The sequence below is a fragment of the Homo sapiens genome, chromosome 20 (assembly GCF_000001405.40).
Source record: "Homo sapiens chromosome 20, GRCh38.p14 Primary Assembly".
Taxonomy (NCBI): Eukaryota; Metazoa; Chordata; class Mammalia; order Primates; family Hominidae; genus Homo; species Homo sapiens.
The window spans coordinates 40,420,267-40,434,605 of NC_000020.11; the positions used below are offsets into that span (position 1 = coordinate 40,420,267).

The 14,339-nt window shown below is 42.5% G+C and overlaps 1 annotated feature.

Annotated features, from left to right (window-relative positions):
• Positions 12,833-13,334: an enhancer, noted in NCBI's record as "H3K4me1 hESC enhancer chr20:39061739-39062240 (GRCh37/hg19 assembly coordinates)". NCBI's record gives its function as "activates a minimal SCP1, AML or CMV promoter by ChIP-STARR-seq in primed H9 embryonic stem cells {active_cell/tissue: H9 hESC(primed)}" and the evidence as "EXISTENCE:reporter gene assay evidence [ECO:0000049][PMID:30033119]".

Sequence of the window (14,339 nt, forward strand, 5' to 3'; positions counted from 1 at the left end):
ACCAAGTGATCAAAATTAATACCTCTAAAAATGGACAAATAAATATCATCACAACATTACTCCTTTAGTTTTTCTGCCAAAAAATGCATAATCTGAGTCAACCATGAAGAAACATCAGACAAACCCAATTTTAGGGACATTCTACCAAATATCTGACTTCTACCCTTCATAAATATCAAGGTCAAGAAAGGCAAATAAACAGTTTCAAAATAAAAAAGACCAAAGAGACATGACAATTAATGCAGTGTGTGATTCAAGATTAAATCTTGGAGGGGAAAAAAACAAATCATTAAAAAGAATATTAGACAATTGATGAAATATGAGTATGGACTGTAGGTTAGATAACAGTATTGTATTAATGTTAATGGTTAGGTAAGAGGAGTGTTTTGTACGTTCTCAAGTATTTAGTACAGGGGCACACTGTTTCTAAATTTTGTTTCATACAATTCAGGAAAAATTTATATAAATAAGATAGAGTTAGAAATATCAGTGTTATGTGTAGAAAGAGACAGGCATGTATAATGATTATACACACATACATGTACAACAAGTGAAGACAAATGTGAAAAGGAAGCATTGATGAATCTATATAAAAGATATTCAAGTGTTCCTTATACTCTTATTGCAAAATAAACAGTTGCTTTACAATATTTACATACACATATATATAAACAGCTATACTCTAAGTAGGTGGGAATTCAAGGAAGTAGGTACTATAATATACTGCCAGTGGGGAACACGTAAGTGGGTATTACTTTTCTAAATGTGGACAGTTGGCAATATAAATCAAAACCAATAACTTTGACATGGCAAAATAGAATTATGGAGATGGATGTGCATAAATCCAGAGCTACAATTCTCATAATACTGGAAATCTAGGAAGTCTAGAGATAACACAAATGACCAATAAGAGGAAACCAAGTGAACAAATTGTGGAACATCCATTTAGTGGAATAAGGATACAATCCTTAAAAGTTTTAGTGCAGAAAGCTATTTTATTACATAGGAATTTTTATACACTATATTAAGTGAAAAAAGCTAGTAGTAAAAAAGAAGGATGTGTAATTTGAACCAATTGTGCAAAAAAAAATACATATTAAGGTAGAAGACATTATTGGCCCTAGTTCTTGACTCCTTTCTGGATCTACATCCTTTGCCATTGACTTTGGAGTTAGTAATGGGCCTTGCTTTGACCAACAGAATGGGGCTGAAATGTGTGTGCACCAGTCCCAACCCTAGGTCATAAGTGCCCTCACACATTCCCACTCATTCTCCTGCATTTCTGCCCATCTCCATGAGAAGAATATAACTGGACTGGTGGCTTTCATTCCCAGGAGGAAAATGAGAGCCCCTTGGAGTAGAGCAGATCTACACAGCCAAGTCCAGCCTAGGTCAGTTAACCCCTAGCTGCCCCTTAGATTCATGAGATTAAGTGACTGCTGCATTAAGGCCTGAGATGAAGATGGCAGCATTTTCTGGAAATAGCTGATTGCTGTATACCTGAGGTACACACCTCAAAGGCTTTTTAAGGGCTACCTCTGGGTTGCATTATTACAGATTATTTCTATTTTCTTTTTATATGGTTTATCTATATTTTCCAAATATTTGAACTGCATATGTATTGTTCTTGGACTTTTTTTAAAAATGACCTACAAAATGATGACAAAAGTAATTCTAATGAGCTCAAGTTCAGTGGATCTCAAAGGATTCCTGGAAAATGAGTTTCAACACTCAAAGAAATAGATAGCTTCAATTTATTAAATGTCCATTATAACCCAGGCACTTTAATAAGCGCACCCTCTTTTTTTGGAGGGGGTTGCTTCACTATCCACAAAGCAAAAAAGTTATATAAGATGATTTCCATTTTAGAATTGAGAAAACTGTGAACATATAAGTTGAGTCAGATGCCTGAAGTTACTCAACTATAAAGTTTCAGAGCTGGAATTCAAACACAGGTGTGCCTAATGTGAATTCACCATCCCTGATTGATACAGAGACCTCTCTTTTCCCTGATCCAGACAGAATTCTGCTGTTGAGCTTAATAACTCAGCCCTCTATGGGGTCCTGAATGTGCAGCATTGCTCTGTTACTGTGAAATTACCCACACTATACACCCACCTCCCATAAGGTGGGATAGTAGGTTAAGAAAGCTGCAAATTCTTTGCCACTTTTCCCATTCATAGGTGGAATCTAATTCTCCTGCCTTTGAATGTGAGCTGGCCTTAGTGACTTGCTTTACCAACAGAATGCTGCAGAAATGAAGACCTGGGCTTCTGTGATGTCCTAAAAAGATTTTGAGCTTCCACTTGACCACTTGGAACCCCATCCCCTAACTCTGAGGAAGTCCAAGCCACCCTTTGAAGAAGCCCACATGAAGAGAATTGAGTCCCCCAGCAGACAGCCCCTGATCAGCTTCCAGCACCAAAGTGTCAGTCCTGTGAGTGAACCATCTTGGAAGTGAATACTTCAGCCCCAGCCCCAGTTAAGCTGCCCCCAGCTCATATCATGAAGCAGAGAGGAACTGACTCACCAGGCCTTGCCTCAATTGCTGATGCATGAGCAAAATGAAAAATTACTGTTGTTTGAAGCCATTGAGTTTGGTATAGTTTGTTGTGTAGCAATATATGACTGAAATAGTATCCTTTTTTTAAGTGATGAAGGTAGGGAGGAACAAAGGAAAGGGGGGAGGGAAAGAGGAAGGGAGGAAGGGAAGAAGTATTTGTCACATCATTTCATGGAGAAAATTGCATAAATAAGTAAAATTCTTAGTAAGCAAATGCACCCTGACTCCTGAGCCTCAGTGAAGGGTGCAGTTCTAGCTCAGCATCAGGCTCCTCTGAGGCTGCTCTCCTTGTCAGCAAAATCAGATTGGTAAAGAGCCTGAAGTTACTGATGCAAACCTGCATTTCTTCAGGCAACTGCAAAAGCAATGTCCACAGTAGAGAGGCAAAAGCTATGTTTATGCACTTTCCTGTGTATTTATTTATCCTGGCACAGGAATTTTCAAACTTGTCATTTTAAACCCAAGGAATTTTTCATCCATTTTGGAATTTCAATCACCATGTTACTGAATAAAGGAGATGATGTAGGGACAGCCAAGCTCTTCTGAGTGGCACAAATCTAGTCCCTGGTGACCTGCTGCCAAAAAGCATTCAACCAAAGGAAGCTAGACCCTGGCCATGAAGTGGCATTCTTGTGCAAGATGCTTATCTGAATGGCGGCATGCTTCTTGCCCTTGAATTGTGATTAAATCTTGATAGAATAGACTCTTCTCTCGGGGTCTCTAATTTCTAGAGTGGTAAACAGCACCTAAAAGTCCATCTGGTCCAGACACCTGACTCTAGGCTGAGAAATAAATAAATGCTCCAGGACAACTTGTATACCAGTCATTTGCCCATTTGTTCTCAGATCTCAGACCCTTCCTCTGCTCAGCTCTATATTGTATATGGCTGAGTTCTTAAAATTACATTCCCCAAATCTCTCAAAACTGGCTTATGATTAGGGATGGCCCACCCTAATCAGAGGTACTGGTGGAAGACTGAAGAAGAGGAGGAAGGGAGAAGCCAGAGTATCTTCCCCATCATTCTTTGACTTAGGCCAGTGACTGGAACTCTCCTGGCTCCCATTGGTGCAGGATGGATTTAGCTCCCAGGCTCCCAGGCTCTGTTAGCTCCACCTCCTCCCCTCTGCACACACATCCCAAGTTTAAGCTATTGATTTCTTACTCCTGATGTTCTGGTGCCAATAATCATGTTTCTACCACTGATTTCTTAGCTTCTTCTACTCCAGATTAAATGTTTCCAATTCCATCCCATACTTTAAAGCTGCTGAGGTATCTTACAGGATAAAGAAATCCTCATCAGTCTACCCTCCTTCAACCTGGTACAATTATGGATCCTTCTTATCCATGAGCCCAGCTCGTCCAGAATCTCATGAGGTCATCAGGGCTTGGATCTGAGTTCTTTCAGTTAGTATGTACTTAGCTCTCAAAATGCTCCATTTTAGAGTTAAGTCTTCTTCTGTGGGTAAGCAACTCCAGGTCAACTTACATAAGTCCCTGAAAGTTTTGGACTGTGCTGTGTATGTATTTTTATTGGCAGCACCCTGCCACCATCAGGCATAGAAGGAAAGCCCCGGTCCCATTCACTCTTCCCCCTCCCAACCATTCATCCATCCAACCATTTATCCACCTTTCCTTCATTCCATCCAACCATCCATCCATCCATCCATTCATCCATCCATCCATCCATTCATCCATCCAACCCCTCACTGATTCAAAGGATCTTATAGATTAAGTTTAGAGATTTGGGAAATAGAATGAATGTGAACTAAAATACACTTCACCACTTTTTACTTAACTGTGTGGTCTTGGCAAATTATTTACATTTCTGAGTCTTAGTGTGCCCATTTTACAGAATATGAACTAAGAATGAAATAAATCATTTAGCTACTCCAAGCCCCAGTTTTCTACTCTGTAAAATGGGATCAGTAATGATACCTACCCATTGGTGGATATTGTGAGGAATAAGTCAGACAGTCCCTATAAAGTGCCTAACATATGACCTTGAACATAGCGAACAGCAAGTAAGTGTTTGTTGTGATGATGATGATGATGATGATGATGATGATGATGATGTTGAAGAGGAGGAGAAGGAGGAGGGGAAGGACAAGGAGGAGGAGAAGGATGGAGATGGAAGAGGAGAACAAGGAGAAGAAGGAAAAAAGGAGGAAGAGGAGGCAAGGAAGATGATGCTATTCCCAGAAGCAATTCACAGGTCCCTCCACCTGGAAGTGAGTCCATATAAACTTTGAAAATTCCTATGAAGTATTCTGTCCATCTCCTGTGGTCCAAGCAATGCCAAAGGCCCATATGGATCAGAATCCATGAGGATAGACATGGAGACCAAAGTCACATGAAGTTGAACAAGTCACTGACGGACCACCAGTAGAGGATGCCAACCCTCTGTATATGAGTGCCAAAATATAGCCCTCTCAGAATCTCAGCCCTCTCTGTGAAAAGGCAAAGCTACCACAGGCCAGACCCAACTTACGGTAACACAGGAAGACTGGATTAGATCATGTCTACAAAGCACTTTGGACTCCTTGGAGGACAGTGGTCTATAAATAGCAGGTGGTGGTATTATTATTAATCAGGCCAACCTTTTATTGAAGCTAATTGCTACTGATGCCAATGAGACATTTATCTGGGTATAGCCAAAGAATCAGACTCTACAGCAGTGATCCATTATTTATTCATCATTAGATTAGCGGCCAAAAAAGAAATGCATCTTATAAAAAGCAATAGTATTTATTGTCTACAAGAAGCCCAAAAGAGAAAAAAATATCATCTGTTTTTCTGGTCATAAAGACTTCGGTCCCAATGCCACTCCTGGCTGTGACTGGGTACATGATAATAAGATGAATTCCTTAACATTTCTGAGCCTTCATTTCCTCTACTTCAGGGGTTGTGAAGATGAAATTAGGTGATGAATACTTGTCCCAAGCCCACTGCCAGGTGTGAGGTAAAGGCGTGGTAGCTTCCAAGGCCCATTACTTTTTTTTTTTTTCTTTTTTTTTTTTTTTTTGAGATGGAGTCTCACTCTGTCGCCAGGCTGGAGTGCAGTGGCACAATCTCGGCCCACTGCAACCTCTGCCTCCCAGGTTCAAGCGGTTCTCCTGCCTCAGCCTCCCGACTAGCTGGGACTACAGGCGCCCATGACCACGCCCAGCTCATGTTTCGTATTTTTAGTAGAGACGGGGCTTCACCGTGTTAGCCAGGATGGTCTCGACCTCCTGACCTCGTGATCCGCCTGCCTCAGCCTCCCAAAGTGCTGGGATTACAGGCGTGCAACACCGCGCCCGGCCCTAAGACCCATTTCTAATGCTTAGGGCTCATCATTTGTTACCGTAAACTAAACTGTCTTGTCCACACCATCCTTTGCCTCATGAAGTCTGGGCTTTTATTACCAAGAAAATGCGTCCAGTTTGGGGGCCAAAGAAAGAGCAGGGAGATATGTCAACAGAAATCCAAGGTAAGGTATGCATTATGCCACGAGGCCTTACTCTTCTTTGAATAAGGTTGACTCTCCACTCCCTAATTCCCTGTCCAGCTATGACTCCAACCAATGAAGAATTACTGTGGCCAATGCCATACTTTTCTGCTGCCTGAAGTCTAGCCAATAGCTGCCCTCCTCACCCATCTCTTGCTTGCTGGTGATTGGAGGGGGAAAAAAATGGCTCACATGTTTGAACTGACCAATGAGTGAGAGACAAAAGCCACAATGATAGACTGGCTTCTAGGTCTGCATAAACCATAAAGGTGCTCCCAAATAAACACTGTTGACCCACCGTCTGTGAAGAATCATGGGTTACCATATCACCACATTGTTTGACAATCTCCCTGGGGCTCAGCAGAGAATAGCTGACCAAAAAATAAATAAATAAATAAAAGAAGAAGAAGAAGACGGAGTCAAGATCAGCCTGGGCAACATAGCGAGACTTCACCTCTATGAAATGTAAAAAAAAAAAAAAAAAAAAAAAAATAGCCAGGCACGGTGGCACACACCTGTAGTTCCAGATACTTGGGAGGCTGAGGCAGGAGGATCACTTGAGCCCAGAAATTTGAGGTTGCAGTGAGCTGTGATTGCACCAATGGACTCCAGCCTGGATGACAGAGCAAGACCATGTCTCTTAAAAAAAGAAGAAAGAGAAGTAAGAGGAGGGGAAGGAGGAGGCAGAGCAGGAGAAGGTAAAGGAAAAGAAAAGAGAAAAACAAGAAAGTGTCGGTTTTCTGCTAACAAAAGCTTTAAATTTAGTGACTTAAAAATACGTATCTAATATCTTACAGTTCTGTAGGTTAGAAGTCTAACACAGATATCACTGGGCTGAAACTCAAGTGTCAGCAAGGCTGTGCTCTTTTCTAGAAGCTTTATGTGAGAATCCATTTCCTTCTCTTTTCCAGCTTCTAGAGGCCACCCACATGCCTTGACTCATTAACTCCTTCCGTCTTCAAAGCCAGCAACATCACATCTTTCTGAATCCTCTTCCCTCGACATATCTCTTTCTGATCACAGCCAGGAAAGTTTCTCCATTTTTAAGTGTTCATTTGATCATACTGGGCTCATGAAGACATTCTAGGGTAATCTCATTTTAAAGTCAACTGATTAGCAAGTTTAACTGCATCTGTAACTTTAATCTTATTTTGCCAAATAAGGTAACATTTTTACAAGTCCTAGGATTAGGATGTGGGGCCTCTCTACGGAGCATTACTCCAACTACCACAATCACTAACCATTTGCCTCTAAATTGTGGTCCCTGGGCTATTTTTCCTCTGAATTACCAGGGTAAGGTTGATGAGTGTGGAGATTCAAAGGCCACATCCAAGACCTTCCGAATCTAATTTTTTTTTTTTTTTGAGACGGAGTTTTGCTCTTGTCACCTAGGCTAGAGTGCAGTGGTGTGAGCTTGGCTCACCTCCACCTCCTGGGCTTAAGTGATTCTCCTGTCTCAGCCTCTCGAGTAGCTTGGATTACAGGTGACTGCCACCATGGCAGGCTAATATTTGTATTTTTAGTAGAGACGGGGGTGTCATCATGTTGGCCAGGCTGGTCTTTAACTCCTGACCTCAGGTGATCTGCCCATCTTGGCCTCCCAAAGTGCTGGGATTACAGGTGTGAGCCACCACACCTGGCTAAGAATCTGACTCTTTAGGGATGGGTCTGGGCATGGTAGAGGTCAACAAGTTCCCCAGGTATTTTCTATGAACACTCAAGTCTGAGAACCTCTTCAAAACAGTCCTCCAACAAGGCCATTATCTTCCATTGACAAATTAAGAAGTTGCTGCATTTGTGTTTGCTTTGTTTGAAGTTGTTTCTCTAATCAATTGATGAGGTTGCTTGTAATTAGAACAAAAGATTCCAATTTTAGATAGAGTGTCTAATAGTGTATCAAGTAACTAAAGTATGTACTCTGAAGAAGCGGGCACCAATTTTAGTTCAAAAAAATTCCATCTATAATCACTAAAGAATCTCTGTTATTTGTGCTTCTTTATACATCGATCATTTATCAAAACCTTTTTCTGGGGTAAATCCTGTGCTTGCTGTTAAGATACTTAGGTCAATTTGTAGCCTGTTAAGTAAAGGGCTCAAACTTTACTAAATGAACCCACATGGCATTGGTCTGAGTCTTTGAGACTCTAATCTAAAAAGAGTTCTGTTGGTTTCTTTCCTTGATCTAGTGTCAGTCCATTTAGAACATTAAGGGGTACTCCACTCCTAGAAATGAAGTGTCCTGTGTGCCCAGTCCCCCCTGACTGGTTTCCCTGACAGTAACTGAAATACTAGGACATTAGACTAAGGGCACAAGGTGGACACACAATACTGCATCTCCAGCCTGTGGCTCCCCCACACTCTCAAGGCTAAAGTTTACTTCTTGCCCATTCATGACTACTGTGTATGGAAGAGGGATACAAAAAAAAAAGGCACAAAAAATCTAACACATGGACATATGAGGGGGAACAACAGACACTGGGGCCTGTCAGGATGGGGTAGGTCGTGGGGGAAGGAAGAGCATCAGGAACAATAGCTAATGGATGTTGGGCTTAATACCTAGATGATGGGCTGATCTGTGCACCAAACCACCATGGCACCCATTTAGCTAGGTAACTAACCTGAACATCCCGGACATGTACCCCTGAACTTAAAATAAAAGTTGAAGAAAAAAAAACAATCTAACTGTTCTGGCTCTTTACATATATTACTTCATTTAGTCTTCACAATTCTGGAAAGTGAACTTGACTATGTAAATTTACCCATGGAAAAACAGGGGATCAGAGAAGCAATCCCTTGCCCATCAATGGCGCTTAAAAGTGGCCCATCTGGGATTCAGTTAAAAATGTCTCTCCTTCTCTTGGTGGTGGGATGTGCTCTGGAAAGTGCCTGAAGTCTGTCAGTCATTCAAGCTCTACTCTAACTAGGTTTGTGAAAAACAGAAGTAGAGCTTACACCCATTGACCAGAGTATTGGGAAGGGTAAGATGCTTTATTGGGATATCTCTATTGAGGGGATATAATTCTTTACTTCCCTTTTATAACAAAGAACTGGCTTAATCAGAAAACAGTGTGAAATTCTGCATGCTTATGCAACTCTCAGCACTTCGGGATATGCACAGTCAAGGAATTCAATGGTAAAAATATAGGTGGGTGACAGACCATCAATTAATTAATCAATTGAAATAATTTTCAAAATAAAATATGGAGTATCTACCATTTGCCAAGCACTGAGCTCAGAGTCTAGGGTTGAGTGGTTGCCTCAGTCTGATTTGCAATGCTATAAAAGAATACCCAAAAGTAGGTAATTTATAAAGAAAAGAGGTATATTTGGCTCACAATTCTACAGGCTGTACAAAAAGCATGGCACCAGCATCTGCTTCTGGTAGGGGACTCAAGAAGCTTCCAATCATGGTGAAAGGGCAAGGGAGCCAGTTTGTCATAAGGAAAGACAGGAAGGAAGAAGACAGGGGAGGGGTGCCAGGCTCTTTTAAACAACCAGCTCTCTTGTGAACTAATGTTGTAGGAACTCATTAGCATGGGGAGGGCACCAAGCCATTCATGAGGGATCTGCCCCATGACCCCAAAACCTTCCACTATGCCTTACCCCAAACATTGGGGATTCAATCTCAGCATGAGATTTGGAGGGAATAAATATCCAAATTATATCAGTGATCCTCAAACAATTATTTGTTTGAGCTATATGACGTTGCCAATATTTGACCACCTCACCTATAGAAATGGCATTTCATATAGTTCAACCTGTAATTACACAATAAACTATATTAAAATTGTGATTAGAGCTATGAACACTCTAAAACAAGAGGAAAGAGGCCGGGCATGGTGGCTTACGCCTATAATTCCGGCACTTTGGGAGGCCAAGGTGGGTGGATCACCTGAGGTCAGGAGTTCAAGACCAGCCTGACTGATATAGTGGAACCCCATCTCTACTAAAATTTAAAAAAAAAAAAAAGCCTGGCATGTGGTGGCAGGTGCCTGTAATCTCAGCTACTTGGGAGGCTGAGACAGGAGAATTGCTTGAACCCAGGAGGCAGAGGTTGCATTGAGCCAAGATCATGCCATTGCAGTCCAACCTAAGAAACAAAAGCGAAACTCTGTCAAAAAAAAACAAACAAAAAAAAAACAAACAAAAAAACAAAACAAACAAGAAAGAAAGAAAGAAAGAAAAAACTGACAGAGAAGCTGTTTGTCTGGAGCACAAGACATGATAGAGGTTGGCTCAAGATGCATCCATAGCAGAGGGCAGGGAGATCAGGCAGGATCTGGCAGACCAAGGTAAAGATTTTGGATTTAATCCTGACATAAAGCTGTTAAAGAAAATTTCCCCAACATTTTGTTATATTTTCAAAACATAGAAAAAAGTTAAAAGAGTTACACAATGAACTCCCAAATACTCACTCTACCTGGATTTTACAACTAACATTTTGCTATTATCTGTCAAGTCTTCCATCTGTCCATCTATCCACTTATCTTATTTTTTGATCCATTTTATAGTAAGTGGCAGTCATAAGTACATTTTACCCCAAACTCTGCAGCATGCGTGTCATTAACTATGTAATGTTAGTGACATTACATAGTTAAAGAACTTAAAGTTCCATATTTGTACAGTTTGTTAAGGAACATGTGCATGACAGAAAGTCACAAATTTTAGGTGTCTTATTCAATGAGCATTAAAAGATTTTTTTTAACCAGAGGTGTAACTTGGCTCCAGCTTTTGGGTAATTAATGTCTGGGGATCATGGGGAGATGGGATTGATGAAAGAAATCAGTTGAGGGGCTATAAAACTAGTTTAGAGGGAGAAGATGGTAAGAAAATCCAGTGGTGGCCATTGGGACAGAAAGAAGAGGATGGATTTAAAAGATGTTTTAGAGGTAAAACAGACAGACCTTGATGATGAATTTGATTTGGGTTGATGAGGAACAGGCAGGGTCAGGTCGACTTTTGGTTTCTGGGTGGATAGTCTGAGATGAGCCAGACTTTGGTAATGGGATTGAGAGGAGAGTCATGAGTGCAAGTTTGGACATGGACCCTCAGGTGCAGACTTTAGTTAGTTAGAAAACAACTAAGGCCGGGCAGGGTGGCTCATGCCTGTAATCCCAGCACTTTGGGAAGCCGAGGTGAGCAGATCACTTGAGCCCAGGAGTTGGAGACCAGCCTGGGCAACACAGCGAAACCCCATCTCTACAAAAAATACAAAAATTAGCTGGGCGTGGTGGCATGCACCTGTAGTCCCAGCTACTCAGGAAGCTGAGGTGGGAGGATCACCTGATCCCAGGAATTTGAGGCTTCAGTGAGCCATGATGACGCCATCACACTCCAGCCTAGGCAAGAGAGTGAAACCCTGTCTCAAAAGAAGAAAGAAAGAAAGAAAAAAAAAAAAAGAAACAAAGAAAAGAAAATAACTAACACTGAACTGCATGTGGAGTTCCCCTTGCCCCTCCCATCCTTCATCCTTCTCTGGATTCCACCCTTAGTTAGCAACCAACTTTTCCATATGCACACCTAGGGGACCAGAATACAGAGTGCTGACTCACCGTCTGAGGTCACTAAGCAGCTATTTTGGGAACATCTGGAGGCTTTGTCTTTCCATTTTCAGAAGGAAAACTGTAAACCCAAGAAGCCTTAGTGGAGGCCAGGGCGCACATGCTGGGCAAACTGGCTAGAGTGCTCCTGGGCTTCAGGCAGGTCCTGAAATGTCAAGCCCACTCCTTTCTGTCACCTAGAGCATCCCCAGGGGAATGTCCAGTTACCGGACTCTCACACTCTTCCCATTAGGTCATCTCTAATGCCAAAGGGGTGCCTGACAAAAAGACCTCATTGGCTACTAGGTGCTTCCAACTTAGCCATCGTTGGAGGATTGTGGGTTTGAACTGGCGGTCCAGACAGAAACTGGCTGACACCCACAGGGAATGCATTGTTGCCCCATCTCAGGCTTTGAGTTCCTTGAGGACATGGATCACTCATCTCCATACCCCACAAATGGGCAGGAAATGATTGAGGAAGGAAGAATGAAGAGAAGATATCCCACTCATCAGACATTTGTTATATTCCAGGCACCAAACTGAGCACAGGAACAAAAAGATGCATTAGACACAGACCTTACCTAGTTGCAGAGACAGGAATGGGAGATAAGCATGAAAAGGGTATGCAAAACGCAGAAAGACAACAAACATCTACAAGATCAGGAATAAGGTTCCCAGGACAGGTGACATTTGAGGTGGGTTTTGACAGAGGACCTGATAGAACTCAGGCAAAGGGAGGAATAGAAACTGCAACACAGTGGGGTGGAAAAGAAAGAGGCTGTGGGTTCACATCCCAGCTCTGCCTTTTTATGTTGGGCAAATGAGGTCTTTCGAAGGAGGTTGCTAACTCCAGTCTCATACCGGCTGCTGTAAGCATGCAGTAAGATAATATATGCTCTGGGCAGATCATAATAAAAGCTCATCTTTATTGAGTTCTTACTGGCTTGTACCAGAAACTTTCTATAATTTTCTCATTTATTGCTTACAACACCAAGTATTTGTCATATGGGGTATGATCTTGTAAATTAATTCATTTTTCATGGGAGGAAACTGAGTTAAGGAGATGAGCTAATTTGGTAGAAATAGTACTTTAGCCAGGCAGGATGATGGCAGAAACAAAATGATTAAAGGTTATGTTATAGCCCCTTCTTGTCCTCAGAGACTCTTCATTGTTTGTGGATCTTGGACCTTTATGAGAATCAATTTCTCCCCCAGACAAACAAACAAAAAAATGCTTATTCATTTTGTTTGTAAACTCAGGGAGTTTTTGGAACCCCCAAAGTCTGTTCACAGACTCCACGTTTATAACCCCTCTGACACCAAACCACCCGGCCACACTGTGCAGAACTCACTTACTCCATGTGGCCAAGGTGGGAGGAGAAAAAAAACCAGAAGAGCGGCTCAGGGAAGATGCCTCCACCTTGCCCAGACTAGTGGCAGTTGGAGGCTGCCATAGGGGGAAAGCAGGCACTGAGCACCCTGCCCTGGGGAGGAGGAGGAGGATGCATCAATGACACAACAGTCAGGGTAAGGTGGGATGGCCCCGAGCCAGAGCGGCACCTCCTAGGCACCCCGAGCATCGCTCTGAGTCAGGGTGGCAGTCACTGAGGCCATCGTTGCCTGCCAGGAAAGCACAAGGGAGAAGCCCAGCAGGAGCCAGAGCTGTCTGCACATGGCAGCAACATCAGAGCTCAGCCTGGGCTGTGGGGTGGGGTGACATTGGCACAGCTCAGCCATGTGTCTGCAACCCAGACCAGCCCTGGCCTGGGGAAGCTTGGGGAGGGCCTGGCAGAACTCCCTTCCAAGGGAGGAGGTTGCACAGGACAGGATCCCAAGAGGCCTGAGATGGGGATGAAGCTGGGCCAGGGTGAGGCCACTTCCCCACAGCCCTGGAAATGGGAGGTCCCGGGCTACCTTGGGAGGATGAATTAGCCCACATCCTGCTAGCGGTTGAGGGGGTTACATTATTCTACCTTCTAATCTAGAAACGTTTATAGAGGTTATTTTTTTCTTGCAGGGGTTTCAAGTACTCATGAGTTTATTTTTTCAACTTTTTAACTTTGAAATGAATATAGACTCATTTCAACTTGCAATAATAGCACATGGAGTCCCTTGAACCCTTTGCCTAGCTCCCTCCAATGATGACATCTTATCATTGTAATACAATATAAAAACCAGAAGACTGACATCTGTAAAACACTGTTAGCTAGGTTACACTCCTTATTTAGTTATCAAATGTGTGTGAAGCTTTAAATAAATGGCTTGCATTTACAGGACCTCATCTTAGTGCTGTTCCACCTCCCAGGCCCATGAAGTAAGGCTGATGTTAGTTTGATTGGGAGGCAGAGCAAGAGACAGAGAGGGGTCAGGAGAGAAGAATGGAGACACAAGCAGCAGTCTTTTCTGAGGTCGAAATTATGGCCATGCCATGTGGCTCAGACACAGTCAGACTTGACCTGACCCCTCTGTGAACCATCGCAGCACAGGACACAGGCCAGGTGGCACTCTTGGCACATACCTGGGAGCTTCCGTGCCTACTTTCCTTGCTTATTCTATGCAGTGGGTTGAATGGTGCCCCTCAAAAGACATGTCCATGTCCTAACCCCTAGAACCTATGAATGTGACCTTACTTAGAAAAGGGGTCTTTGTAGACGTAATTGAGTTAAGGATCTTGAAATGAGAACATCGTGGATTATCCACATGAGCCTTAAATACATTGATAAGTGTCCTTATAGGAGACATCCAGAGG